The 25,490-nt window shown below is 40.9% G+C and overlaps 2 long non-coding RNA genes across 4 annotated transcripts, besides 1 other annotated feature; both read right to left on the reverse strand.

The window, feature by feature from the left end:
- Positions 1 to 1,512: 1,512 nt before the first annotated feature.
- Positions 1,513 to 15,475, reverse strand: LOC105372561 (uncharacterized). 3 transcript variants are annotated; one of them, XR_937333.2, is made up of 4 exons: positions 5,844 to 6,097; positions 4,699 to 5,097; positions 3,465 to 4,261; positions 1,513 to 1,775 (listed from the first exon to the last, which is right to left on the reverse strand). It is a non-coding gene; the product is annotated as an uncharacterized LOC105372561 (long non-coding RNA). The 3 variants fall into 3 exon arrangements; XR_937335.2 differs by lacking the exons at positions 4,699 to 5,097; positions 5,844 to 6,097 and adding an exon at positions 15,335 to 15,475 and having other exon boundaries at positions 3,465 to 4,161; XR_001754534.1 differs by lacking the exon at positions 4,699 to 5,097 and having other exon boundaries at positions 3,465 to 4,161.
- Positions 5,369 to 6,568: an enhancer, noted in NCBI's record as "CDK7 strongly-dependent group 2 enhancer chr20:22245080-22246279 (GRCh37/hg19 assembly coordinates)". NCBI's record gives its function as "activates an origin of replication core promoter dependent on BRD2, BRD4, P300/CBP, MED14 and CDK7 cofactors, with strong dependence on CDK7, by STARR-seq in HCT116 cells {active_cell/tissue: HCT116}" and the evidence as "EXISTENCE:reporter gene assay evidence [ECO:0000049][PMID:35650434]".
- Positions 15,476 to 21,154: 5,679 nt separating the features above from the next.
- On the reverse strand, positions 21,155 to 23,728 carry LINC01427 (long intergenic non-protein coding RNA 1427). Its single transcript, NR_110615.1, has 4 exons — positions 23,721 to 23,728; positions 23,471 to 23,599; positions 23,281 to 23,342; positions 21,155 to 21,467 (listed from the first exon to the last, which is right to left on the reverse strand). It is a non-coding gene; the product is annotated as a long intergenic non-protein coding RNA 1427 (long non-coding RNA).
- Between the last annotated feature and the right edge of the window lie 1,762 nt (positions 23,729 to 25,490).

Here is a 25,490-nt window from a genome sequence, read left to right on the forward strand (position 1 = left end):
AAATATGTTATTACCGAACTAACAATGTAAGAAAAAAATATAGCTTCAATGATGAAGCAATACCACATGTTAGAAATATATCAACTTACCAAAGTGAATGCTTGAAATTGATGCAAAAGCAGAGGTCAAGTGCTAACAGTTATACTTCTTGACCTGTGCAGTGTTTTCCTTTCAAGATGTGTGGCACCCAAAGCAATGGAATGACTCAAAAATATTGTAAGTTTCTGGGAGCCACATCTGTGCAAAAATGGGACCAATTCAGTCATACAACTGGATAATATGTTGAGCAAATCCAGTGAAACCCCGTTATGTCACCATGTATAGCATCCCAAAATACAGGCCATTCCTGACTCTCAAGTTTGAATGTTGCGAGTTTGCAGACAAAGACAAAGATAACGTCTCTGGGAACATGTTCTGAACACTGCCCAGGGCCTGTAGAGCAGACAATCTCATTAAGTGAGGCTGCTCATGGTTTGAAGATGAGCATTGGTCTTGCTGCCCTCTAAATGAAGACATAGGACCCTCAGTTGCATCCTTATAAGTGGGCCAGGTACAGTGAGAGGGAGACATGGCTTACGGAATTACAGACATATTACAGAAGAAATAGAAAACTTTATAAGCATGAGGCTGTCATAGAACCTTGGATTTTGGTAACAGAGGCAGAGAGCTTCATTTTTGAAAAAAGTCTCTGAGGCAGTCATCATGAAAAAGCAGCCCTTTGAGTACAAAGATAAATGTTCACTTGGGAGATGTCACCTTCAAGCTTTATTTCTGATACTAGTACAGGGAGTGATCCTGTCACAAAATAGAGCTGCCCCTTGTAGTGCCCGAGGTCTGAATGGCCTTGAAACTGGCCTGCCTTGCAAGAGCAATTGGCCAACTCTCAAGGGAGGCAAACATCTGTACATATTTTTTGATGATCATGTATCTCACTAATAAAAAAATTACTAATCAAAGAGGAAGGTGTTTGCAGACTACTTATATGAAAAAAGACCTGAAGTATATCAATGTTATTATCATGATTAACCTAATAGAGAACTCGTCTCTTACCTAAAAAATGTACTCTATTTCTCACAAAATTCTTAAATTGGTGATGTACATGAGTGCTTCTACAGGGTATTAGATTTAGCTGTTTCAGCTGTTGAGTTGGTTGACATTTGTATTGCTTACTGTTGTCTTGGTCTCTCTGTTTATGTGCAGACAGTCTAACAGTAAAACAAACAAACAGACAAAACCAAAACCAAAATTTCAAGAGTGGAAAGGAGTTTTTCCCCAGATTGACATTCAAATTCATCTGACCACGAGTTTTGGGAGGCATGACATATGATGCAGTGTGAGTATTCTATTCTTGAAACTAGGAAGTAAGGTGCACACCAGCCCAGCCAAGCCTGCATAGATGATAATGTGTTGTCTCTGTTTAATGCCGTTATTAATATGAAATGCTTCCTCATTGCATCACCTTAATTTGAGCTTTCAGCAGGATGGTGACAGTTACACTGCTTTAGTAAAGCACATAGCTAGAACATCATGGGAAAGCACTTATATAAAAACTCTCTCTTTCCTTCTTTCTTTCTGGCTTGCTTTCCCTCCTTTGCTGCTGGTGACCACCCATGCTTGAGCAGTGTTTTGGCTGCTTTCCCACTGATGAGTTTTCCAAACCTTGTCAGGAGCTGGCAGTTAAATGTTCTGCCGCCAGCTTACAGAAAATACAAGTTGGATTGCCTTGTTCCTGCTTTCTTTCAAACTTGCATGTTTATCCATCTTCACCTTGATTCCTAGAAGAGTCAAACATCTGATCCTCAGGTCAAGCCTGAAGGAAATGGTTGTCCCAGCTGAAAATAAGATCGATCCCAATTTGCTTTACAGTACTCTTGTTAAAGATCAGTGTGTAATATTTTCTCTGTGTGATGCAATGCTTCTTAATAAAAACAAAAAGGGATGTTTGACCTTAACTTTAAAAGGTCCAAGCAACAGTGACATTCAGCAGAGAGAATATTATTCCATTTGCATGGGTCTGATGAAAGAAATAATTCTGACATTGGATACCCAAGCATAGCTGAGAAGGGAGGAAAAGAGGAGAAATAAAGACAGAACAAGGCGACGGGCCCCAGCAAAACAACACACCACAAGGCATTCAATTCCAGATTAGATCTTGCTTTTATTCCCTTCTCTCAAAAAAGATGCTTTAAATTATTTAATGGAGAAAGGTAGTACTTTGAACTCCAGGAAAATCAAAATGTTACAGCTCTGAGGGGTTTTTTGGTCTTATGTATCTTGTGAATAAAACCAGCTTTAAAAAAAAAACTAAAACACAAAGTTGTCTCATCTTTTATAAAAGCAAGTTCAAACATTTGGTACAGATGAAGGCTGGTCAAGCATTTAAACACATAATTTCAATGTCTGATGGCTCTAGAATAAAAGGCACTTGATTCAAAACGGAATGTCATGTTGGTCAGCAATATATGCTTCCACTAAATAACCAAATACACAAATTGAAATAAAGTGAAATTCTTTTTCCAGAGTTAATGAAAGGTTCCTGTTTGTGAATTTGGGGCTTTGAAGTCCAAGGCTTCCAAACAGCACCAGGAATTTACTGGTGATTTATTACTATTTGGACAAGTGGCGAACAGAGCATTACTCTACGGAAAGTCCACATTCCCTACCTGTCAAGGGAGCCTTCCTGAAATGGGGACACCAGCTCCCCTTGCTGCAACTCCTCTTAGGGCTGTGCCTCAGGTGGGGTCCACATAGTCTGGTGTGGTCATCTCTCCTGGGCCAGCGCCCTCCCCCTCTCTCTGCTCTAGCCCCTGCCCTATCCTGTGTCGCTCATCTCCCAGTTGCTCTTCCCACTCACCCCAGGTTCCAACAAAGCTCACTTTCTCTGCCCTGATCCTTTCTTTGTGACACTTGGGTTATACCATGAACTGATTCCAGGGACAGTTTTGCCTGCATTACTGCTCCATAATAACTGAATGTGGAGAGACGTTTTCAGACCCTTCTCAGTTTCTCCCAGGTGGCCAATTCCACACATACAAATAGTGGCCACTCTCCCTCCCCATGCCTAGATGCCCACAGTGTGCATCCTGGGAAAGGACCATGCCCTAGAACTGGCTAGACTGAAAGGACCTCTGGGAGACAGGGGCTTCCCTGACATGGGTGGGTTCTGAAATAAGAGCATCTGTGTGCTCAGGTGTTGGGGCACTCACAGTCATTGCTGGATGGGACCCAAGGCAGCGACTCAGGGTGGGGGTGAGTATGTGTTTTGACACCACTCACATGAGAGTGACTGGACAACCCCCCCCATAACTTACTACAGTATGGTCTTACATAAAACTGATCATAACACATTCACAAAGCTTAGGGGTATTACTGGATTATTTTCTTATTGTGTTATTTGCTTGGAAACAACATGATTATAATGACCATTAATATAAACTACCACCAATAAGCCATAGAATGATTACCTTATCTAAATGTTCAGTTTGCTATTTTTTGAGTCTCTGGTTTTACATATCCTCACATGATCCATCTCAATCAGTGCACGTATGATAGACTCCTGCAGGTATTCTTTTGTGAAGTGGCTATCCAGATGTAAAAAAAAGTACAAGACAAAAGCTGTCATCAAGGGATTCATGGTTTAGTTGAAGATAAAAGAATAGGCCTTAAAGGAATCCACGAGTGAGGTTACCGCGGAGAACAGAGAACTGCAGGGAGTTTCCGCGTGGAGCCCCCCGAAGCTGGACAGTGAGGCTGCAGACCCTGGCTGTTCACTAACTGATGTGTATGACCTTGACACATAGACTGGTGACAGGACCTCTGAGCTTCAGCTTTCACATCCAAAAAGTGAAGACGATGTGGCACCCACCTCACAGGTTCCAAGGAGCATGAAATGCCATCACTGTGCTGTACTTGGAGCTCTAAAATGTGTGGGGAAGGGTATCCACAACAATGGCTGATAGAACGTCCTGGAGTCACAAAGAACAAGCACTCTTAGGAAAGGTGCCATTTTAGTTAGATATGACACAATGAATCGGGTTTGGATCAGGAGGGAAGGACTGTCTATTTCAGGAAGTGGAAAAAAGAAGAATGAGCAATAAGTCTTCATCTGCCTTTGTGTCCCCACATTATGTCTTGTCTTCCAGGTCTTATGGAAACACTTCCCTCATGTAAAAGAGAAAAAAATAAACATAGTCGTATTACATTTTGGGTGAAACATTTAAAATCAGAGACATCACGCACAGCTTTGCTGCATACTAAAAGCCTAAAGGAGAAAGAGGAACAGAAAAATGTTGTTTAATTTGAATGGATGTTGGAGGAAAGAATGATCTTCAAATAGTTCAGAGTCCTGTCTTTTGGCTGAAATCCATTTCTAAGTAAAACTCTCCATAGTGCCCTCCCTGCCCTTCTTCCCCACCCTTCCTGTCCTAACCAGCTCTTCCCCAGAACAGCTCTCACCTTCCCAAAGCAGAATAAAGCCCAGGACAATGTTGAAGGAAAACTGCACTTTTACATTTCTAGATGATTTCCTAACAGAAAATATATGAACTCTCGGAACTAAAACTTAGCTGAGGATTCCAAGCTCCAACCTAGGACCTGAAGAAACCAAGTTCATTGGGTGACTTACAAATGTGTTGATTATAACTCTCTTCATAGAATGACATCAGGACATTTGAATATGAAATTAAAGAATTTACTCACCCGCCTTTATACTTCCATCAGGCCAAGCAGCTGGAAAGACAGTTTTTGCTTTTTTCAGAACATTGGGATATTCACTTTCATTAACATTAAACAAGCTGAAAAGTTGTTGAAGTTTCCTTGAGATGTTTGTAAAGAATAGTGGAGCAAACATTTGGAAATTTGGGCGAGGCAGGATGCATCTCCAACACTGTACTAGACTCTTGCTTTTTAGTAAATGTTATGTCTGGCTTCACTTTGAGTGTGAAGGATGAATGTTTTTCAAAACTCTCATTGCTGTACAAATATGATGTGTTAATGCCTCAAAATCACTGTTTACCCAGCTGCTTCCATGTAAGGTACCTGGAACTCTCGCCAGAACTTTTTCTCTTTATGCATCTACTCTCATTTTCATTGCCATTTCTGTAGATTATTTTAAGAGGCAAAAGAAGCATCATGATTTTGAGGAGGTGGCTCCAGATACTCTTAATATTTCCACAGGCACCAAATCCCAGCTTGATGGCAGGATGGAAGTTAACTTGGGTAACATACACATGATTAGAGAATCCATCATCGGGGCATTCCCACCCACAATTTTCCTCCCAAGATTCTGTTATTCTTTTTTAGGACAAAGACTACCCAGGGGACGTCATTGGAAAGTCTCATGTAGCTATGAACCAAAACTTTCCTGCAGAAAACCCTACAGCTATCCTTCTAATGAGATATGTTCAATCTCAGAAGCCTGAAAAAGTGGAAATACTAGGTTGGCACAGTTAGAATAAAATTCAGGAAAGATTCACATAGTTGGTAATTGAAGCTATAACCATGCAAGAGGTCACAAAGCAAGAGAATAGAAAGAGAGAAGGCCCAGAGCCGAGCTGCAGGGTTCTCCAACATTTAAAGATCAAGAGGGTGGTTTATTCAGGTATGTTATACAACAATTCAAAATCTTTAAAATGTAAGGTATTATGTCTGAAGTGGATCAGTGAAATGAGAGATTCAGAAAGACTCCAGTGAGTCTGGCATCAGAATCAGTTACTGCGGCGGTGTGGCATGGGGTGGGGACAGAGTGGAGAGGAAAATGGGAACTAGGAACCCCCAGCACCCCTCCACAGGTGCTGAGGTTGGTAAGGTTCTGCAGCCCAAGGTAATCTCTATGCAGTGCATACCTAGTCACCTCCAAAAGGCAAATGGAGAGTTTCAAGTGATGCTTCACTTCCAGGATCAGCAGACATTTCTAATCATCTTTACAACCTCCCTAGTAAAGATGTTCAGAGGCTTTCCATGTCAACAGCAGGCGGCTTATATTCCAGAAAGTTAAGTCTGTGCCATTCTCTGCCTGAGCCAGTATGTTACGAAGAGCATTACCATGGCGATTTCACATTCTGAAACTGTGCTTGTCTCTTAAATGCCACGTGCCAATGAGTCATAGAGGTGTTTTGTTCTAGAGCCATGTACCCCCCAAAAAGGGAGTTTGTACATATTTACCAAGAAACTATTATTATTGTCTACAGTTCATGCAGTTACAAAACTATCTTTGCCTCCTTTTACTCACAATTTGAACCCAATCTTTTCTAAGGTGCTGGCCTCCCAATATTGCTGTAGATAATTCAGCCTTGGTTTCTTATGATTAAAGATTATGACTCACACCAGCCTACAAGCCTGGAGAATTATACTGAAGTTGATGCCTCACGATGATCCGATCTGGAGATTCCATACATAGCATATTCTGCTACTACCATGAGAGACTTTTATATTGACGCAAATCATGTATTTACCTCTTTATGACAATTAAATTACAAAATAGTCCATGCAGTGATCCATAGTATCATCTCATCTTGATAAGGAAGGGTTAGGTAGAGGAAGAATTGCTGGATGCTTTTAAGTCATCCTCCAACATGAACCAGCTTCTTATAAAAGATGAGACAGTTGCATTTATATATCCAAAGCTAGCTGCTATATTTTCTAAGTCATGTCTCAAGTAGAGCATCTAGAAAAAACCTGTATCAGTAGTGCTTAAGTCTGGCACTGCAGGGAAGCTGGTTTAAAATTACAGAGCCTCTGTAATTTTCAAATGTTCAAAACATCCAACCTAGAGCCTGGGAATCTGTATTTTTAATGAGCATCGCTCATGCATTGCTATGGAACACACATTGCATATATAGCATTTTCTAACATATAGGATCAGGCCAGAGGAAGAATGTCTGTGTATGAGAACTCCCTAAATGATGCACAGTTCCACTGTCTGGTTACAGTTGAAACCGTTTTTGTACTTACTACCATCCCATGCAATGTCACTGGTTACATACGGTTTACCAGATGTGATTATTACTGCACTCATCTTGGTTGATATATGGATAATAAAAGGGCCTTATTAGAGGTTTTTATTATGCCCCACAATCTTCAAATACCTGCTGATTAGAAAAGTTAGAGCAGTTATCTAAGAGACCCTGAAGGATGTCTTCAGTGTATGTCATCAACAAACCCCATGATTACTCCTCTCTTGGCTTGGCACTTTGGTGGGTTAACAATGGAGAGGTGTTGCCGGGCTTGCTCCCACCACCTCCACATACTAGCCCGAGGCTTGGAAGGATGTGTTCCAGGCATTGGCCCGGACTGCATCTATGTATTCCTTTCTTACACAGGATCTCGTTGTCTGTGGGATCTTTGTCTGTCATGGGTGATCCAGGAGAGACCAGCTGATGGCTGATGGGGTCACCTCAGCAGCCCAGGAGATATGTGTCCTTCAGGTTGTTTTTGACAACAGCAAAACCATCAGGAGCATCCCCTCCATGATGGGACTTCTCAGAGTGTGGTCCCTGGATTCCTGCATCAGCTTCCCCTGGGTGGTTGCTAAAAAACACTCAAAGGCCAAGCATGGTGGCTCATGACTGCAATCCCAGCAGTTTGGGAGGACAAAGCAGGAGGATCACTTGAGGCCAGGAGTTCCAGACCAGCCTGGACAATATAGTGAGACCTTGTCTCTAAGAAACTTAAAAAAGAAAATTAGCCAGGCATGGTGGCTCATGCCTGTAGCTACTCGGGAGATTGAGACAAGAGGAAAGGTTGAGCCTGGGAGTTCAATGCTGCATTGAGCTATAATTGTGTCACTGCACTTCAGCCTGGGCAACAGACCAACACCCTGTTTTATATCATAATAATAATATAATAAAAAAAATAAAAAGCACTCAACTTCTGAATACCTCCCCAGGCCTACTGAATGGGAATTTCTGCTGGCCTCTGGAATCTGTTTTTAACAATTTATCCTGGTAAGTCAAATATACAGTAATGTTTTGGAATGAAGGTGCTAATTACAGAGGCTGAAGGGGAAGGAAGCAGTAACTTGCCGCCTTTCACCATGCCCAGCTCTGGAATAACACAAGGAAGCCTTGGAAGGGTGAGCTCCACTCTAGTACCTGGCTGTTAGCATAGGAGTATTATTGCCAGATCCTAAACCCACCACACCTTCGGGATTACTCATCTCAATAAATGACATTTCCACTTTATTTATGTATTTATTTATTTTGAGACAGAGTCTGGCTCTGTTGCTCAGGCTGAAGTGCAGTGGCGCGATCTCTCCCGGGTTTAAGCGATTCTCCTGCCTCCGCCTCCCAAGTAGCTGGGATTACAGGCACCTGCCACCACACCCAGATAACTTTTGTATTTTTAGTAGAGACTGGGTTTTGCAGTGTTGGCCAGGATGGTCTCAAACTCCTGACCTCAGGTGATCCGCCCACTTCAGCCTTCCAAAGTGCTGGGATTACAGGCGTAAGCCACCGTGCCCAGCATTTTCCACTTCTGAGGGTCTCTTTAACTCTTTTCCTCACCCTCCTCATCCAAAATACAGCAGGAAATTCTGCCTGCTTTCACCAAGTGCCATCACTTTTACCACCTTTGCCTGGACCATGGCAGGTGGCTCTGCTTCTCCCTCCAGGCCCCTCACCCACCACTGTTGATGTCCATGCAGCAGCCAAACTGCTCCTCTGAAAACAGGGGTCAGGATATGTGATATCCCAGCCCAAACTTCTCAATGACTTCCAGCTTCACTATAGAATAAAACTGAATGTCCTTACAGTGGCCACCAGGTCCCTAAATATCACATCAACCTCTGAGAAGCCACACTGACTTCTCAGACCTTCCTTGTCTCCCTCCACTTCCCCAGGACCTGCCCCGCTGCCGCTCCTAAAGGACATCAGACTTGCCTCCCCCAGGACTTTGCAGGGCTGCTCCCTCTGCCTGGAATCCTCCACCCACAGAAGCCCCTCCATTCATGCTGGTCTCTGCACAAATGGCATTGCCCTGTGGCATCTCAGGACCTGTCCTGTAGAGCTTCCCACCACTTCTTCTCACTTGCCTTACTTCACTTTCATTCATAGCACATTTTATTTCCTGACATGTATGTTTTATTTGGTCCAGTTCTGTTGAGGGCCCTCTCCCAAGAAACAAACTGCCAGTTTCTCACTGTATCTTCCACGGCACAAAAGGAGTTGGCTAGCTAGCTCTCTGGCCACTGCTGCTGCTGCTTCTTCTAAATAAATTTTATCATGCATATTTGGGGCTTACAACATGATGTTATGGGATAGGCGCAGTAAAATGGTTACAACAGTGAAGCAGTTTAACCTGTCATCTCACTTAGTTACTTTTTTTGTGGCAAGAGCAGCAAAAATCTACTTACTTAACAAAAATCTCTAATGCAATGCAGTGTTATTAACTTTAGTCCCCAGGATGTGCATTGGGTCCCTAGACATGCCATACTACATATCTGCTATTTTATATCCTTTCATTTATATCTTCCCATTTCTTCTACCCCCACCCCGCCCCTACCACCACCTGTGGTAACTACTGTTTCATTCTTTGCGTATTTGAGCTTTTAAAAAACGTTCCATCTATAAGTGAGATCATGCCATATTTTTCTTTCTGTGTCTGGCTTATTTTACTTGGCACAATGTCCTCCGGGTCCATCTATGTTGTGGCAAATGGCAGAATCTCCTTTTTAAAGGCTGAATTATATCCCTGTGTATGTGTATATACCACATTTTCCTCATCCATTCCTCTATTGATGGGCATTGAGGTAGTGCACCTAATGCTGCAATAAACATGGGAATGTTGATACCTTTAGAAGATGGTGATGTCATCAGATATATAGCCAGAAGTGGGCTTGCTGGGTATTACGGCAGCTCTATTTTTAATTTCTTTAGGAACCTCTATGCTGTTTTCCATAATGGCTGTACCAATCTACACTTCCACCAGCCATGTACTAGGGCTTTATCCATACCCTGGCCAACATTTATTATCTCTTGCCTTTCTGATAATAGCCATCCTTACAGCTTGGCTATTTCAGAGAGTCAGAGATATTACATAATATCTCATAGTGATTTTAATTTGCATTTCCCTTATGATTAGTAATCTTGGACACCTTTTCCTATACTTATCGGCTGTTTTTATATCTTTTTTGGAGAAATGTCTGTTCGGGTCCTTGGTCCTTTTTTTTTTTTTTTGAAACGGAGTCTCACTCTGTTGACCAGGCTGGAGTGCAGTGGTGCAATCTCAGCTCACTGCAAGCTCTGCCTCCTGGGTTCACGCCATTCTCCTCTCTCAGCCTCCTGAGTAGCTGGGACTATAGGCGCCCACCACCACGCCTGGCTAATTTTTTTGTATTTTTAGTAGAGACGGGGTTTCACTACTAAAACCAGGATGGTCTCGACCTTGCTCCATTTTTAATCAGGCCATTTTATTTTCTGCAGTTGAGTTATAAGAGTTTCTTACAAATTTTGGGTATTAACCCTTTATCACATACTTGGATAAGATAAGGATCCAATTTCATTCCGGTCTCATAAAGGCATTAATCCCACTCATGGGGGCTCTATTCTCATGACCCGTATTAGTCAGGGTTCTTCAGAGGGACAGAACTAATAGGATATATGTATATATGAAGGGGAGTTTATTAGGGAGAATTGACTCACATGATCACAAGGTGGAGTCTCATGATAGACCGTCTGCAAAGCTGAGGAGTGAGGAAGCCAGTAGTGGCTCAGTCAAGCCCCAAAGCCTCAAAAGTAGGGAAGCCAACAGTGCAAAGCCATCTGTGGCTGAAGCCATCTGTGGCCAAAGCCCCAAGAGCCCCCAGCAAACCACTGGTATAAGTCCAAGAGTCCAAAGGCCAAAGAACCTGGGGTCCGATGTTCAAGGGCATGAAGCATCCAACATGGGAGAAAGACCACAACCACAAGACTCAGCAAGCCAGCGTATTCCACCTTCTTCCACCTGCTTTTTTCTAGCTGTGCTGCCAGTTGATTGGACGGCGCCCACCCAGATTGAGGGTAGGTGTGTGTCTCCCAGTCTGCTGACTCAAATGTTAATCTCCTCTAGCAACACCTTTACAGACACACCCAGAAACAATATTTGCATCCTTCAATCCAATCAAATTGACACTTTGTATTAACCATCACATGACATAATCACCTCCCAAAGGCCTCACCTTTGAATACTAGCACATTGAGAGTTAGGATTTCAACATATGAAATTTGGAAGGACACAAACATTCAGTCCAATACACTGCCCTGCTAATTCAAATGGTGCCTGGCACACAATGGGCCATGAGTAACTGTTTGTTGAGTGAATAAATGAATGAGTGCTCGGACACTGACACTGTGCTTGGAAATTGCTGGAGGAGCTTGTGAGTTAGGTATTGACTTTTGTGTTTTGCTTGGATCATCTTGGTGAATTCTCACCCAGTCCTGTGTTGTGGTTGTTCTTGTCTCAATAGAGACAAGTAATCGTGGCCAATCGTGGCACATGGTGCCTTTCCCTCTTCTTTCACTTCACTGGGGCCACTGTAGTAATGTGGACCTATGATTGACAGCTGGTAGCCCAGGATACATTTCAGCTGGAAGCTCTGCTGCTCCTAGGGCCCACATTTCACCAACACCACAGCTGACATTTTTCAGAAGCCTACTCCACTTCTAGCCTCATTTCCACATCTCCCTTTCCCACGTGATTCACATCTTCTGATTCCTTCTCTGCTTCTTACATTCTCAACATGCTTTGTGAGCTCCAAGGTCAAGGGCACCTCATATTCCCTCTTCCCATTTGCTGGTGTCCTCTGTTACTGCTGCTGCTTCCCCTCCCTTAGAGCCATCCATGGAAGTGGTGCCCAGAAACTTTCAGAACATGTTATTTGCCAGATGGAAGATGGCCAGTGTCAGAGCTGTGTATAGGAGACCTGTTTGCAGAGCATGGATTTTTCCAAAGGTTTGCTTCTGGGAATGCATTTGAAATCCACTCATCTAAAGTAGACTTAGAGTGGAGGCTTAGGACACAATTTCCCATTTCTAACTCAACTCAAGGCCCTTTCCTGCACAAATTTCCCTTTTTCAACCTGCTTTGGAAGCTTTAAATGGAATGAATTTAAAGAGATTTAAAATAAATTTGATTAAGTAATTTGAAAAACAAAGAAAAGGTAGCAGCTGCCTAGATCCCCATCTGCTCTGATTTGTCTGCAAGAAGATAGGATGTTTCTTTCTCTCCTCTGTTCCTAGTATTCATCTCATATCTGACATCCCCAACAGAAAATGCACTCCATTCTGCCTGCAGTAGTCCAGAACCATGCCAAATGAGAAACACAAACACAGGCGTGATTTATGAGGTCCTCTTCTCTTCCCTGTGATCTTCTCTGTAGTGCCATTCTCTCCAAGGTCCTGAGGTAACAGATGTCCCCATTAACTCAGCCAGGAGGGGCTGAAAGGCACATCAGACTAAAGAGAGAGAGAGAGGTAAAAGGTCCTAGCTCCTCAAACTGAGTGCCAGTGGATAGTGTTGCACAGAGTGGGAAGAGGGCTCATGGCAGGAGCCAAACCCAAGTGTCCCACGGGATGTGTGTCTTGAGACAACATGGCCAGCCCCACCCCTCCCCTCATCCCTCAGTGAAAATGACATCCAAGTGGGACAGCCCAGTGCCATGGCAGCAAGACAGCTGGAGCTGGAAGCACAGAGGGGTGGAGAGATCTCTGTGGGCTGGTGGTGGGGCCAGGGCTGGTGGTGGGGCTGCTGGTCTATGTGGTCACCCCCAGGCACCTGTTGTGCCATGGGATGCATGGATGGATCTACAGTAGCGTGACCGTGAATGTGACTGTGATGGTTAGTGGTGGTGGGGATGGAAATGCTTCCATGGTAATTCAGTCTTAATCTTGACTCAGACTAGCAGTGCAACATTAAACTTCTGTTTGAGGCGGTACTGTAAAGGCGCCCAACATCAAGACTCTGCCCTTTGCGGGTGAGGACTGTGCGGTTCTCCTTCTGTCTTCCTTTTTTTTTTCAGAAGAGGAATTTTACTTTTACCCACTTATGGTAATATTTGCAATATCAGAATATAATTAGGTTAAATAAATCAAATAAGGAGTCCAGAAGAAACTGTTCTTGAGTTAAGCCAAGGACACACTGGCAATTTCGAGAACAGAGAATTCTACACATTAACAAAAAGAACACACAAGCTCAAATGCAAGTTTATATGGTGAGTGTTTTCAAAGGATTTAAAAAGCATGCTCCATCAGCATAATAGCTTTTTCTCATTTATGTAACAGATGCATTTCTGTCTGCTTGTGTACAGCAAAGGGTTAGAACCTGAATAAACTTATTTACAATTTCAGAAAGGTGCTATTTTAGAAATGTACTCCATAGAATTTACTTCGCTGCTCCTACCACTGATTCTTCAAATAAACAAAGTACGGAAGGTCTTATCCCTTGAAAATGTTTTTAAACACTAGCACTTTAAATTGAAACATTGGTAGAAATGTAGCAATGTCAGTTACAATGCCTATACTTAGTCTTATTTAAAATAAGAATTGAATGCACAACAGAAAATTTATCATTTTCTTTATCATTGGAGGGGAGGGAGAGAAAGCAAGCAGAGGTGGGGGTATGGTTACACTATTTAAGGAAGAGCTGAATACAAAGATAATGAGTCTTTCATAGTCTCAACAATTCCACAATGAATAACTGTGGATTATCTCATTTATGATTCACATTGGATAAAAAATAACTGGTTCCGCTCTGTGTATATCAATTTAATTCAAACCTTATTATCTTCAGAATACAAAGATGAATACTAGAAGATAAACTAACTGCAATAAGTATTTTCTAAGTAGAAGACCAAACACCAAGGGGAATCCCTCTTTCCAATGTCTTCTGATATGGCAAGATTTTGCCAGAATGGAAGTCTAACACTTAAATAAGCTTTCTCTTGGCCAAGTAAGAAACTACAGTTGTTGTGGGTATTACCCTACAATTACCATATGTATTACATATTAAATTAAACTCAGCATTAAATATGCTTGTATAATTACGCTGTTAATGATGATAGCAGTGATGATGCTGGTGGAAAAAGCCTGTCTTTAGCAAAAGAAAAGTAAGGGAGAAAAATGTAACAAGCAGAAAGCAAACACAGAGTTGGGCAATTTTTGACTAGGAAAGAGAATTTTAAACACTTTTTAAATCTTCAAAATATTTAAAACAAATTTAAAGGGTCTGTTAATTCATATATTTTTCTTTACTAATCATTTTGGATTTTTTTTCTCTGAATTATTGGGCAGGGAAGATACTTAGGTATGGAAGATTATTGCTCTAATTTGAGTGAAATAAAAGATATTAGTGCGAGGCAAACATAACTCATTTGAGGATAAAGTTTCTGTTGGATATGTGGCTCCTGATGCATTTTGACTTGTCTTTTAAAATGCTTTATCTTTTTCTTTAAAGATTTATTTCAATAAAACTAATTGGGACCACCTATATTTCAGTAGGACCTGAGTATGGATTGGAAGTACTTGGCAGGGCAGCAGCAATCTTGCTGTTTTATTTAACATGCATCCTTGGGCAGGTCGCCATTAAATCTTACACTGTGGTGAAGGGATGATTTTTTTTGTAATGCACAGTAGAGTTAGAGTACTTAGTTCTCTTGTTGTCCAGTATATCTAATAAGTGTTTCATATTATTTCCACATAAGGGAAATAAGGGAGTACTTTTCTTTTTCCTTCTGTCTTTCTATCTAGACATCACCATTCATCCATCACTTAGGCAGCCATTGATTCAGCATGTGTACTTGCATGTGCAAGTGTGTATGTGTGTACATGTGTGTGTGCCTGTGTGTGTGTGTACATTATCTACTGTGTACCAGGCCATATTTCCGGTATCAATCTCAGCTCCTCTTCTCCAGTACAAAGATTCCTCTTGTCTATAAATTTCTGTAATAGAGATTACTTTCTGTCACCAGATAGAAATTCTGTCTGGTGCTCAAATTGTTGTTGCTGTTTAATTTATAGTACATTTTTAGCTCTTTATTTCTAATTTTTAAATGTACACCGTGTGTCCCTGCAGGCACAGCTCCAGGAGCTCTGCATTCCCATGCAGGCTCAGCCACCACACACTGGAGCAAGTGTCATGTGGCCTCCTCTGTGATCATGACCACTCATGGCCTGAGCTGGCCACAGGGAAGAGCAGCTGGCCACACTTCAGGTTTATAAGCGGCTTTGAAAGCACCAAACATGATGTCTGACTCTCCCTGTCCTGTGATTCCCAGGGCCCAGACTGGGATCTACAGAGAGGAAGAAGGGACACAGGCTTCCTTATTACTCTCCTTCATTAATTCATTCACTAAACAAGTACTTACTGAGTGCCTACCAGTTGTCAAGTATGATGTTAGTGTTGCGAATCCAGAAGGGAGCAAAGCAGGAAAGTTCTGCTCTCAAGGAGCCACGTGTTCCTGTTCCCAGGAGCGTCAAGGAAGCCCCTGCAAGGTTGCGTCATCACTGCCAGCAACAGTTGAACAAATGGGAAAAGCAATCAGGGAATACTGTTTCACAGTACCAACTATTTACATATTTGGTAACAATTTAGTTGTTTTTTAGTCTTACTTTGATGATTTTTCTTTTCATTTCTTATCCAGTATTTTATTCAACAATTTTCTGCTGATTTAAATAATAAAATTGCTTATTTAAAATCAACAAATTATTACACTAGTGATTAAAAATAAATCAAAGTAAAGGTACATTCTAATGCACATTCTCCTTCTCTGCTGATGAGAATGTAAATTGATACAATCTTTCTATCCTTAAAACTTTAGTGCTCATTAATGAAATAAGTCACCCTTAAGCAATGTATTCTAAAGAAACAATCAGAGATTGTCAAGGATTTATATAAAGGATGTTCATGAATGTGATTTTAAAACCAAGGGAAATTTAAAGCAACCTCAATGCTCAACAATAGGCATTAAATTAGTGATGGCATATTTTTTTCATTATACTTTACGTTCAAGGAATACATGCGCAGAATGTGCAGGTTTGTTACATAGGTATACACGTGCCATGGTGGTTTGCTGCACCCGTGATGGTGTATTTTTGTGAGATAATATTATGCAGTTATTTAAAAGGATGCCTTTATAGTGTGATTTTTTTAAAAAAATAGTGTATCGGTAAAGAAAGTACTTTTGTATAAGACTCAATATGTGTTCATTAACAGCAAGTCTTGCCAAGCTAATTTCTTTTTTGAAGCAGTAACTAGACTAATGTATATGTGGAATTCAACACATCTAAAAGGGCATATAGAGCTTTTCATATACATGAATAGAGCTCCTGGAGCACCTGGTGGGTTGTGGTTGCCAAGTGCTGGAAATATACAGGTAAATAAAATATAGCCCCCATATTCAAGAAGCTCATAATGCAAAGATGGGGAAACAAACAAATGGAAAATTACAAGAATACAACGTTATTCAACAAATGTTGACCACACATTTACTGTACGCTGACTCTACAGCAGTGAACAAGCCATACATATGCCCTCCCTTTTGGAGCTGTTCAAACTCATTTTTAAAAGTTGATATAACAGAAAAGCTAAATTCAAGGAAGCACAAAAGCAAAGTTGCCTATCGAATATCTTCAGTCTAAATTTGGTGACCTGAGCGGGGATGGGAAAGTGGAGGATCATGAGTGAGTGAGACGTAGCACCAGCCCTCGGGAAGGGTGACAGCAAAATGTGTAGGGACAGAAAGACTAGAGAGGGGAAAACAGGGGAAGGAAGTCACAGGGTAGAAGGAATCCTGCTTTATAACAGGAGCCATCATCTTTTGAGGGTCGAGGAGAAGGATCCAAAAGAAAAATGAAGATTGAAGAATGAACACTAATACAAATAGATCATGGTCCTAAAAAGGAAAGACAGCTGAGTTCAAGGGCAAAGAGTTCACTTTGACAAGGAAAGAGGAAGTTAATCCTCAAATATGGCAGGCAAAGAAGGGGTCAGTAATAATAGAATCTGAACTGGAAATAAAGGAAGTTGATAAAGTTCATAATAAAAAATGGTAAATTTCAATCTTCCCAGAAATAATGAGCTCATCCCCTGTGAGAAAGGGCTTAGAAATGATAACTTAAGGGAACAAAAAGATCTATGGCAAACTTGCTAATTGACTGATCTCTTGCAAAACATTGAGCATTTACCATATTCTAAGTTCAAATACCCATGACTCTGGGAGGACATGGAGCTGGCCTTGGAACCAGTTCACATGATCAGGGGACCTGCAAACACACCTGGAACATCTACAGGAGCAATACGCATCACAGAAACATGCATGTCATGGCCAACACCCACACATGGCCTCAGAAAAGATAGGTAAGCTTGGCTGTCCCCTTACTTGCCAAGAATTGTCAGAAACTCAGTGTTGTAGAATAGAAAGACCGTGGGCTTAGGGTCGCATGGACCAGGTTGTAATCCAGCTCAGTGGTTCACCAACTGGATGGCCTTGCAGAGAGCTCAGTACCTGCCCAGCTCCTCCGTGGGCACCGAGGTGCTTGCCAGCCATGCGAAGCTGTGGAGCAGACCGATGAGGAGGTGGAGGTGAAGCATTGAACACACAACAAGAACTCACTACACAACTTATTTGTCTGGTTATGCTTTTTCAGATTTTGCTATAGGACAAAGATTGACTAACAGGAAGTGGCTTTAGGTTCAGATTTTCCATCGTTCCAGGTAGACTTATGAAGATGATACCTCTATTAATATTTAATGCTGTCATATTTTAGGTACAGCCACTGCAAACCACCCTGCCTAGAACCCATATTTATTTAGTAGGATCTATCTATCATCTATCAGTAAATCAAAAATGGCCTTACTGCCCAAGGTAATTTATAGATTCAATGCCATCCCCATCAGGCTACCAATGACTTTCTTCACAGAATTGGAAAAAACTACTTTAAAGTTCATATGGAACCAAAAAAGGGCCCACATTGCCAAGACAATCCTAAGCCAAAAGAACAAAGCTGGAGGCATCATGCTACCTGACTTCAAACTATACTAAAAGGCTATAGTAACCAAAACAGCATGGTACTTGTACCAAAACAGAGATATAGACCAATGGATAAGAACAGAGCCCTCAGAAATAATACCACACATCTACAACCATCTGATCTTTGACAAGTCTGACAAAAACAAGAAATGGGGAAAGGAGTCCCTATTTAATAAATGGTGCTGGGAAAACTGGCTAGCCATATGTAGAAAGCTGAAACTAGATCCCTTCCTTATACCTTATACAAAAATTAATTCACGATGGATTAAAGACTTAAATGTTAGACCTAAAACCATAAAAACCCTAGAAGAAAACCTAGGCAATACCATTCAGGATATAAGCATGGGCAAGGACTTCATGACTAAAACACCAAAGCAATGGCAACAAAAGCCAAAATTGACAAATGGGATCTAATTAAACTAAAGAGTTTCTGCACAGCAAAAAAACTACCATCAGAGTGAATAGGCAACCTACAGAATGGGAGAAAATTTTTGCAAAGGGCTAATATCCAGAATCTACAAAGAACTCAAACAAATTTACAAGAAAAAATAAAACAACCACATCAAAAAATGGGCAAAGGATATGAACAGATGCTTCTCAAAAGAAGACGTTTATGCAGCCAACAGACACATGAAAGAATGCTCATCATCACTGGCCATCAGAGAAATGCAAATCAAAACCACAATGAGATACCATCTCGCTCCAGTTAGAATGGCAATCATTATAAAATCAGGAAACAACAGGTGCTGGAGAGGCTGTGGAGAAATAGAAACACTTTTACACTGTTGGTGGGACTGTAAACTAGTTCAACCATTGTGGTAGATAGTGTGGCGATTCCTCAAGGATCTAGAACTAGAAATACCATTTGACCCAGCCATCCCATTACTGGGTATATACCCAAAGGATTATAAATCATGCTGCTATAAAGACACATGCACACATATGTTTCTTGCAGCACTATTCACAATAGTAAAAACTTAGAACCAACCCAAATGTCTATCAATGATAGACTGGATTAAGAAAATGTGGCACATACACACCATGGAATATTATGCAGCCATAAAAAAGGATGAGTTCATGTCCTTTGTAGGGACATGGATGAAGCTGGAAACCATCATTCTTAGCAAACTATCACAAGGACAAAAAGACAAACACCGCATGTTCTCACTCATAGGTGGGAATTGAACAATGAGAACACTTGGGCACGGGAAGGGGAACATCACACACCGGGGCCTGTCATGGGGTTGGGGGACGGGGGAGGGATAGCATTAGGAGATACACCTAATGTAAATGACCAGTTAATGGGTGCACCACACCAACATGGAGCATGTATACATATGTAACAAACCTGCACATTGTGCACATGTACCCTAGAACTTAAAGTATAATAAAAAAAAAAAGTAAATCAATCTATCTACCAATCTATCTATCTATCTCTGTGTGAAGGGTTTCTTAATGGTTATTTCCTTTCGTTTGGTTACTACTATGCCCTATCTTCTCACTTTCACTTAAAACAATACAGTTTTCCCCAAATTATCAGTACTTGCATAAATAAGTAACTAAAACATAAATAGTAATCCATAATAGTAATTAATACTAATTTTATTATTAATAAGTAATAGCAAGTAATAATAGTGCTTCCTTGACTATTTTATCACTTGCAATTTACTTTAAATACTGCAGCACAGACACTGTGGGATTACATGCCTGTTACTTGGGTTGAGCTAAAACTCAGGCCCTCACAGAATTCAACCAGGCAGGCACACTTGCCTCAGGTGAGAGAGGAAACCCCTCTGCTGGAACAAGTATTGCAGAGCTTCTGTTATCTGTATCTTACTTTGGCTTGTCTGATTAGCATGCAGATTTGGGTTAAACTTGTGGCTTGTTAATAAGCTGATGCATGCTTAAAAGTGTCCTCTTTTGGTGAAATTGAAGGTAATCAAAGTATGTGGATTGGCTAAAATATTATGGAAATACTCCCCTGTATTATAACAGGGTGTAAACAACCAAAGGATCAATGATATTTGGTGATTTTGCCTGAATCTTGATCTTTTTATGGTTCTGTGTCCAGCTAGGAATCCCCAGGGCTCTGCCTGCCTGAAGCTGTCCACACGGTTAGCAGAAGCCCCTCTGTGGAATTGCGGGTGTCTATCTCAAGTGACCTTCCAAGCAAGGTCTGAACACCTAACAGGACAGAAGCCTGAGACTTCAGTGAGCTCACAGAACAAGTTGTATGAGCTGCTTCTGTGCTTGCTTGATAATAACTCCTCAACCGAAAAGAGCTGGATGTGTCAGAATTTTCTTTGAAATTAGCTTTCCTTAGAGTCTACTAGCCAGATTGTAGGGGGAGAAGTGAATGCTCAGCCACCTCTAACCTCTTTAAAAGCTGCCATTTTCTACCAAAACAAAAACAAAAACAAAACAAAACAAAAAAGAGTTTTGCATGACCAAATTGCCTGAGGTCAGCTGGTATGCTAATACATTAAGCAATAATCATAAAAGTATTTCTACTAATATTTAAGTAAAAGTTCTCCTTGAATTCCAGATAGAAGGAGTTTCTACAGTAGAATTAACAATTTATTTAGTATGCTCAAATCCTCACATTTTGGTGTTCATGTCCATTAGATGGCTTTGAATTGTTACATTTGTGGCTTATGTATATGCTAGCTGAATTGTGCTTTGGCCTTTCTTTTCTGATCAGCCATTAATCTGGGTAAAAACTGCTGACTAAATGAGCCCCCTGGCATGTTTTCATATTTGACACTCTCTATCCAAATCCCTAGAGCAGAGATACTGGTGTAAGTCCTATAAGGGAAAGACAACGACTGTCTTGTTCGCTTCATATCCTCAATGCCCAACATGGTCTGGACCATAGTAAGTGCTCAGTAAATATTGGTGAAATGAATAAAAGAAACAAGGAATGAACGAGCATTTCTCCCTTTCTATTCATATTTGTGAGTGGCTTGCTGTCTTCCTATCTGTCTGCCCCATAGGCATCTGTATGGGAAGGACTGGCAGTTGGTGCTACTAAATAAACCCCATCTTGGGTAAATCACTGTCAATGTGTCTTCTCATCCCAGTTTGGTCTCCACTGGTTCTTGGGCAGAATTTCCCTGAGATGTATCCAAGTCACAGATTTAAAAACTGAAAAGAAAGTTTGAATTCTCTGGAAATTATAATGTACTCTTCTCAATGGGGCAAAAGGAAATTATACATATGAAGAGCTGCTTAAAATAAAAACAAATAAAAGCAAATGTCTCATTTCACCCAGTTTTGGAGGTCAAAGCTCTTGTCCATGTAAAGCAAAGAACTGAGGGTATAACTTATCTTGTGGAATCCTTGAAGAAGCCATTTCCTTGAGCACAAGACCCAAAATGTTCCTCAGAATGGCTTGTAAAATCCCTCGGAGGGTCCTATGTCCTAATTCAGAGGTGGTAAATCCGGGCTCTTGGTCAAACTCAGCCTGATGCTTGGTTTTGTAAATAAAGCTATATTAGTAAACAGCCACACCCATTCATTTACATATTATCTATGGCCACTTTCCCACAACAACAGCAGCATCAAGTTGCGCAGAGACCTTCCTGCTGGTAAAGCCTAAAATATTTACCATGTTTAGATAAAAGATTTGCTGACTGTATCCTAAGTGTCTGGAAAGATTTATCCATTAGCCAGGAGGGACAATGATCCTTTCTACATCATTAAAACAACAAAAATGATGGTAGAAGTTATATAACACACTTCAAAAGCACTAGGATTAATGTCAGACTTGTTTCAATTATGCCGATATAAAAAGAGTTGGATGTCTTGTTTGTTCATTTATATTGTGCCTCATTCTACAAAGGATGTGAGCTGGTATATAAAAACACATACAATATAATAAAAGGTTAAAAAATTAATAAAATTCTAGCCAGAGAAGATACAAATTAAAATAGGAGGTGGAAACAAAATGAAAGTGTTTTTCCATTTAGGATTTAACCTTTTAATTCTATATTATTTTATATTAATATTGCAACCACTGCCTTTTTCTATTTACTGTTCTATCAAATCTGTTTAGTTCTTTTACAGTTTTTTTACAATTATCAAATATTTCAAAAATTTTAAATAGTTTTTTGATTAATATTACAAACACTCATAACAACACTTAGATTTTTCAAACTAATATTCAAAATAAAGGTGCCATATTTGTTTGAACATTAAAAAAAGTACAATATTAGCTGGCACAGTAACTTTCCCTCATCCCACTGGCTTCTCTCACCCAAAAAGACCTCTGACCTCTGTCTTGAAGGTGGTTCGCATCTTTTCAAATCATATTTTAAAATTTATAACATGTGTAAGTAACTATTGTATATGGTGTTGCTTTCTGTTTTTTAAAGTTTACATGAATAAGGAATTATTTTATGCATAATATTTTCAACTTGCTTTTATTTCCCAACACTAGATGTTAGAAATTCATCTATGCTAAAATAAGTAGATTTAGTGTATTTATTTTAACAACTGTGTAGTAGTTAAAACATATCCCCAATTTGTTTATCCATTACCAATGAATAAACATTTGGATTGTATTTTAAAGTATTTTTTAAAAGCTTCAGTGGTCATTCTCATACCTTCCTCCTTGTGCAAGGCAGAGGTTTCTCTACGGCTTATTTTTGGAAGAGAGATGGGTAGGTCTCAGAGTATCTCATGAAGATGAACTTTACTAGATGATAGCCAAATTGCCCTCTGAAGTGCTTATACTACTTCCTATTTCCACCATTAGCAGAGAATTTTCCTATTTTGCTGTATTCTAAAGAGTAAACCCTCAAAAGGAGGTAGGGGCAGAACAGGAAACAGATAAAATTTAACAAGATACAGCTGGGGATTCTAAGAAGCAGTACCATGAAAGGCCTCTCAGGTCCTCCTGAAATGTCCTGACTTTACTCTGTAAACAGTGGAAAGCCTTCAAAATCTTTAATATGAATTTTCATTAATAGGGAAATATTCACTTTGCTTCTTTCTTGAACTTTAAACAAGTTGCTTAAGCAAAAGTTCTAAAAAACGGCCATAACCTCAAATATTTATTGATTCAGATCTCAGGAATCTAGGAGATTAAGGGCTAAGAATCAGGTGTGGGTGGCTCACTTCTGTCCTTAGTTTCTTGGCTATAATTTGCTGAATGTTCTCTTCCCCTCCATATCTGCCAGTTGGAAATCTTATGAGAAATGTTCCCTGTTCAAGGACATGAATGACAAGATCCGCATCCAGCACCCTCTGGGCCTATGGGGAAGCCACCAAAGTAGACTCACATTTTGTTTAAAATGATGGGTGATTGTTCCATCAAGCTCTGACGTTAATGGTTTCGGTTAATCTGATACAATTGAGACAATATTTTCTCTTGTCATTATTTCTTCATTTTTATCAAACGTCACTCACTGTTCTGGGTAAAGGCAGATCTAGCCTTCTTCTGAAGCTGCACCTCCAACTTTATGTGCTGACTTGGAAGGATGGCTGTTTACAGGACTCCTGGGCTGGTTCACCTTCCTTGGATACTCGAGTACTGGAGTGCTCAAATGCATACGTTCTAGAGACGGTTTGTTTCATTATAAGATGTGACTAAATATGAACCTGAAAGAGCCAATTCATAAAGATGGATCCCAAATGTAAATAGAGTTATATTAGTAAACTGGGCCCAAATTTAAAATAAAGCCAAGTAGCTATTTGCTGACTAGATGTCTCACACACACACTTTGAGTTCCCTGAAAACCGACACTTGTGTTCAGCTTTGGGACTCGGTTGAAGCTGAGCCCTTTCTCAACCAATCATTGTTCAGCTGCCTCAACCAATCAGGACTCAGCTGCCTTGACCAATCAGGGTTTATTTGCATAGGTGAACCTGATTGGGAACTTGGGCAGGAACTTTCAGTAGAAAACCAGAGCTCTCCCTTCGCTTTCTGGTACACAACTTAGTTTTTACACTGAAGGCTGCATGTCCCCAGTTTGCAGACTGTACACCAGAATAAAATCTCTTTTCTCCAAACTCCTTTTCAAAAAAATTTTCATTCACAGAAACATGTTCAACATTCTTTTTTCCCTGAGCAAACCCACTTAACTTTTCTCCTCCAGCCTTCCTAGGTCAGAGTCACAAGTTGTGCCAGAGGCAGAACAAACTAGACACTTAGGAACACAATAAATAGCAAGCATCTGCTCCAGCACCTCTGAGGAAGGTGTGTACATACATACAGAGTAGGACTTCTTTCATTTATGAATACTCTACATGTGATCTGGAGCCTTTTTCATTTGCAATTAAAAGAAAAAGACTTTAAAAATAGGAGAGATGAAAACAGAAGCCAAAACCCTAAGCAGTGTGGGTGGGGACGTGGAGCTGGGTGGGGACGTGGAGCCAGCCCTAAGGATGGCTGGGGACCGGTCCTCTGCTTCCTGCATCCGCTTCTCTCTGGTGCTTGCCTCGTTTTCCCTGGCCGACTGTCAGAGTGAAGCCGGGGTAATGGCTCCTTCTGGAACCGTGGGGCTTGCCTCTTCACATTACAGGGACCAGTGAGGAAACAGGACCCTCCACATTGATTCCAGCTACAGTCCTCATAGAGAACTCTGACTGGGTCAGCCTGGGTCAGGTGCCCACCAGGGTCCAGGGTATCAGAGAATGATGATTGATAGTTCCAACCTCAACAAACAAGTAAACAGGAGGAGTAAACATTTTACCTGAAAAACAAGAAGGGCTGTTCTGGACAGACAAAACCATAGATGTGATATACTCTGATTTTGCCACAAGGGCTTTATGCCACAACATACCAGAATTTTCCAGCCTCAGATAGCTTTGCCTTGACAAATGTTGCACGGTAAAGAATTTTCTTCGGTTACAGAATCCTTTTTTGGTTTTCCAATTCTAATGATTATTTTACTTGTTATTTCAAATACCTGAGCATCCTCTGAACTTTCCTCTGGCCTATGTATCTCTTGAAGGCAAATACTTGCTCCAAACATTACCCAAAACATGAAGGTTCAGGGGCTTTGTTGAGATCATAGTGCCATGTCCTCTCCTGTGGTCAGTGATGCCAGTTTTCAAGTGGATCCTTGCCTTGTAGTAATTTTGGCTGGATGGGGATCATGCTGAATGACTCACATCCAAATAAAATGAGGACAGCACAGAAGGAGCACTCTTAGGCCGACTGCAAAAGTGGGAGAGCTGCTCACGGCCAGTCCAACTGTGCTCCCTCCCAGTCTGCCTTCAATGGTGGCTGCCTTCACAGGACAGATTTGGATTTAATGTGTGTTTCATAGAGAGTAAAGGGAAGACTTCATCTCTGGAAAGTCATTTTACAGCTGAGAAAACCGAGCCCCAGAGATGTCACATGACATGAACAGAGCCATGCAGCCCATGAGATCCCCTAAGGAACTTCACAACAGAAAACATCAATTAGGTGCCTGCTGTGTGCATCCATCGCTGGGCCCTTTGAGTAGGATAGAGAGTAGAGGAGGCTTAAAGCATGGTTCCTGCC

Source organism: Homo sapiens, chromosome 20 (assembly GCF_000001405.40).
Source record: "Homo sapiens chromosome 20, GRCh38.p14 Primary Assembly".
In the NCBI taxonomy this organism is placed as follows: Eukaryota; Metazoa; Chordata; class Mammalia; order Primates; family Hominidae; genus Homo; species Homo sapiens.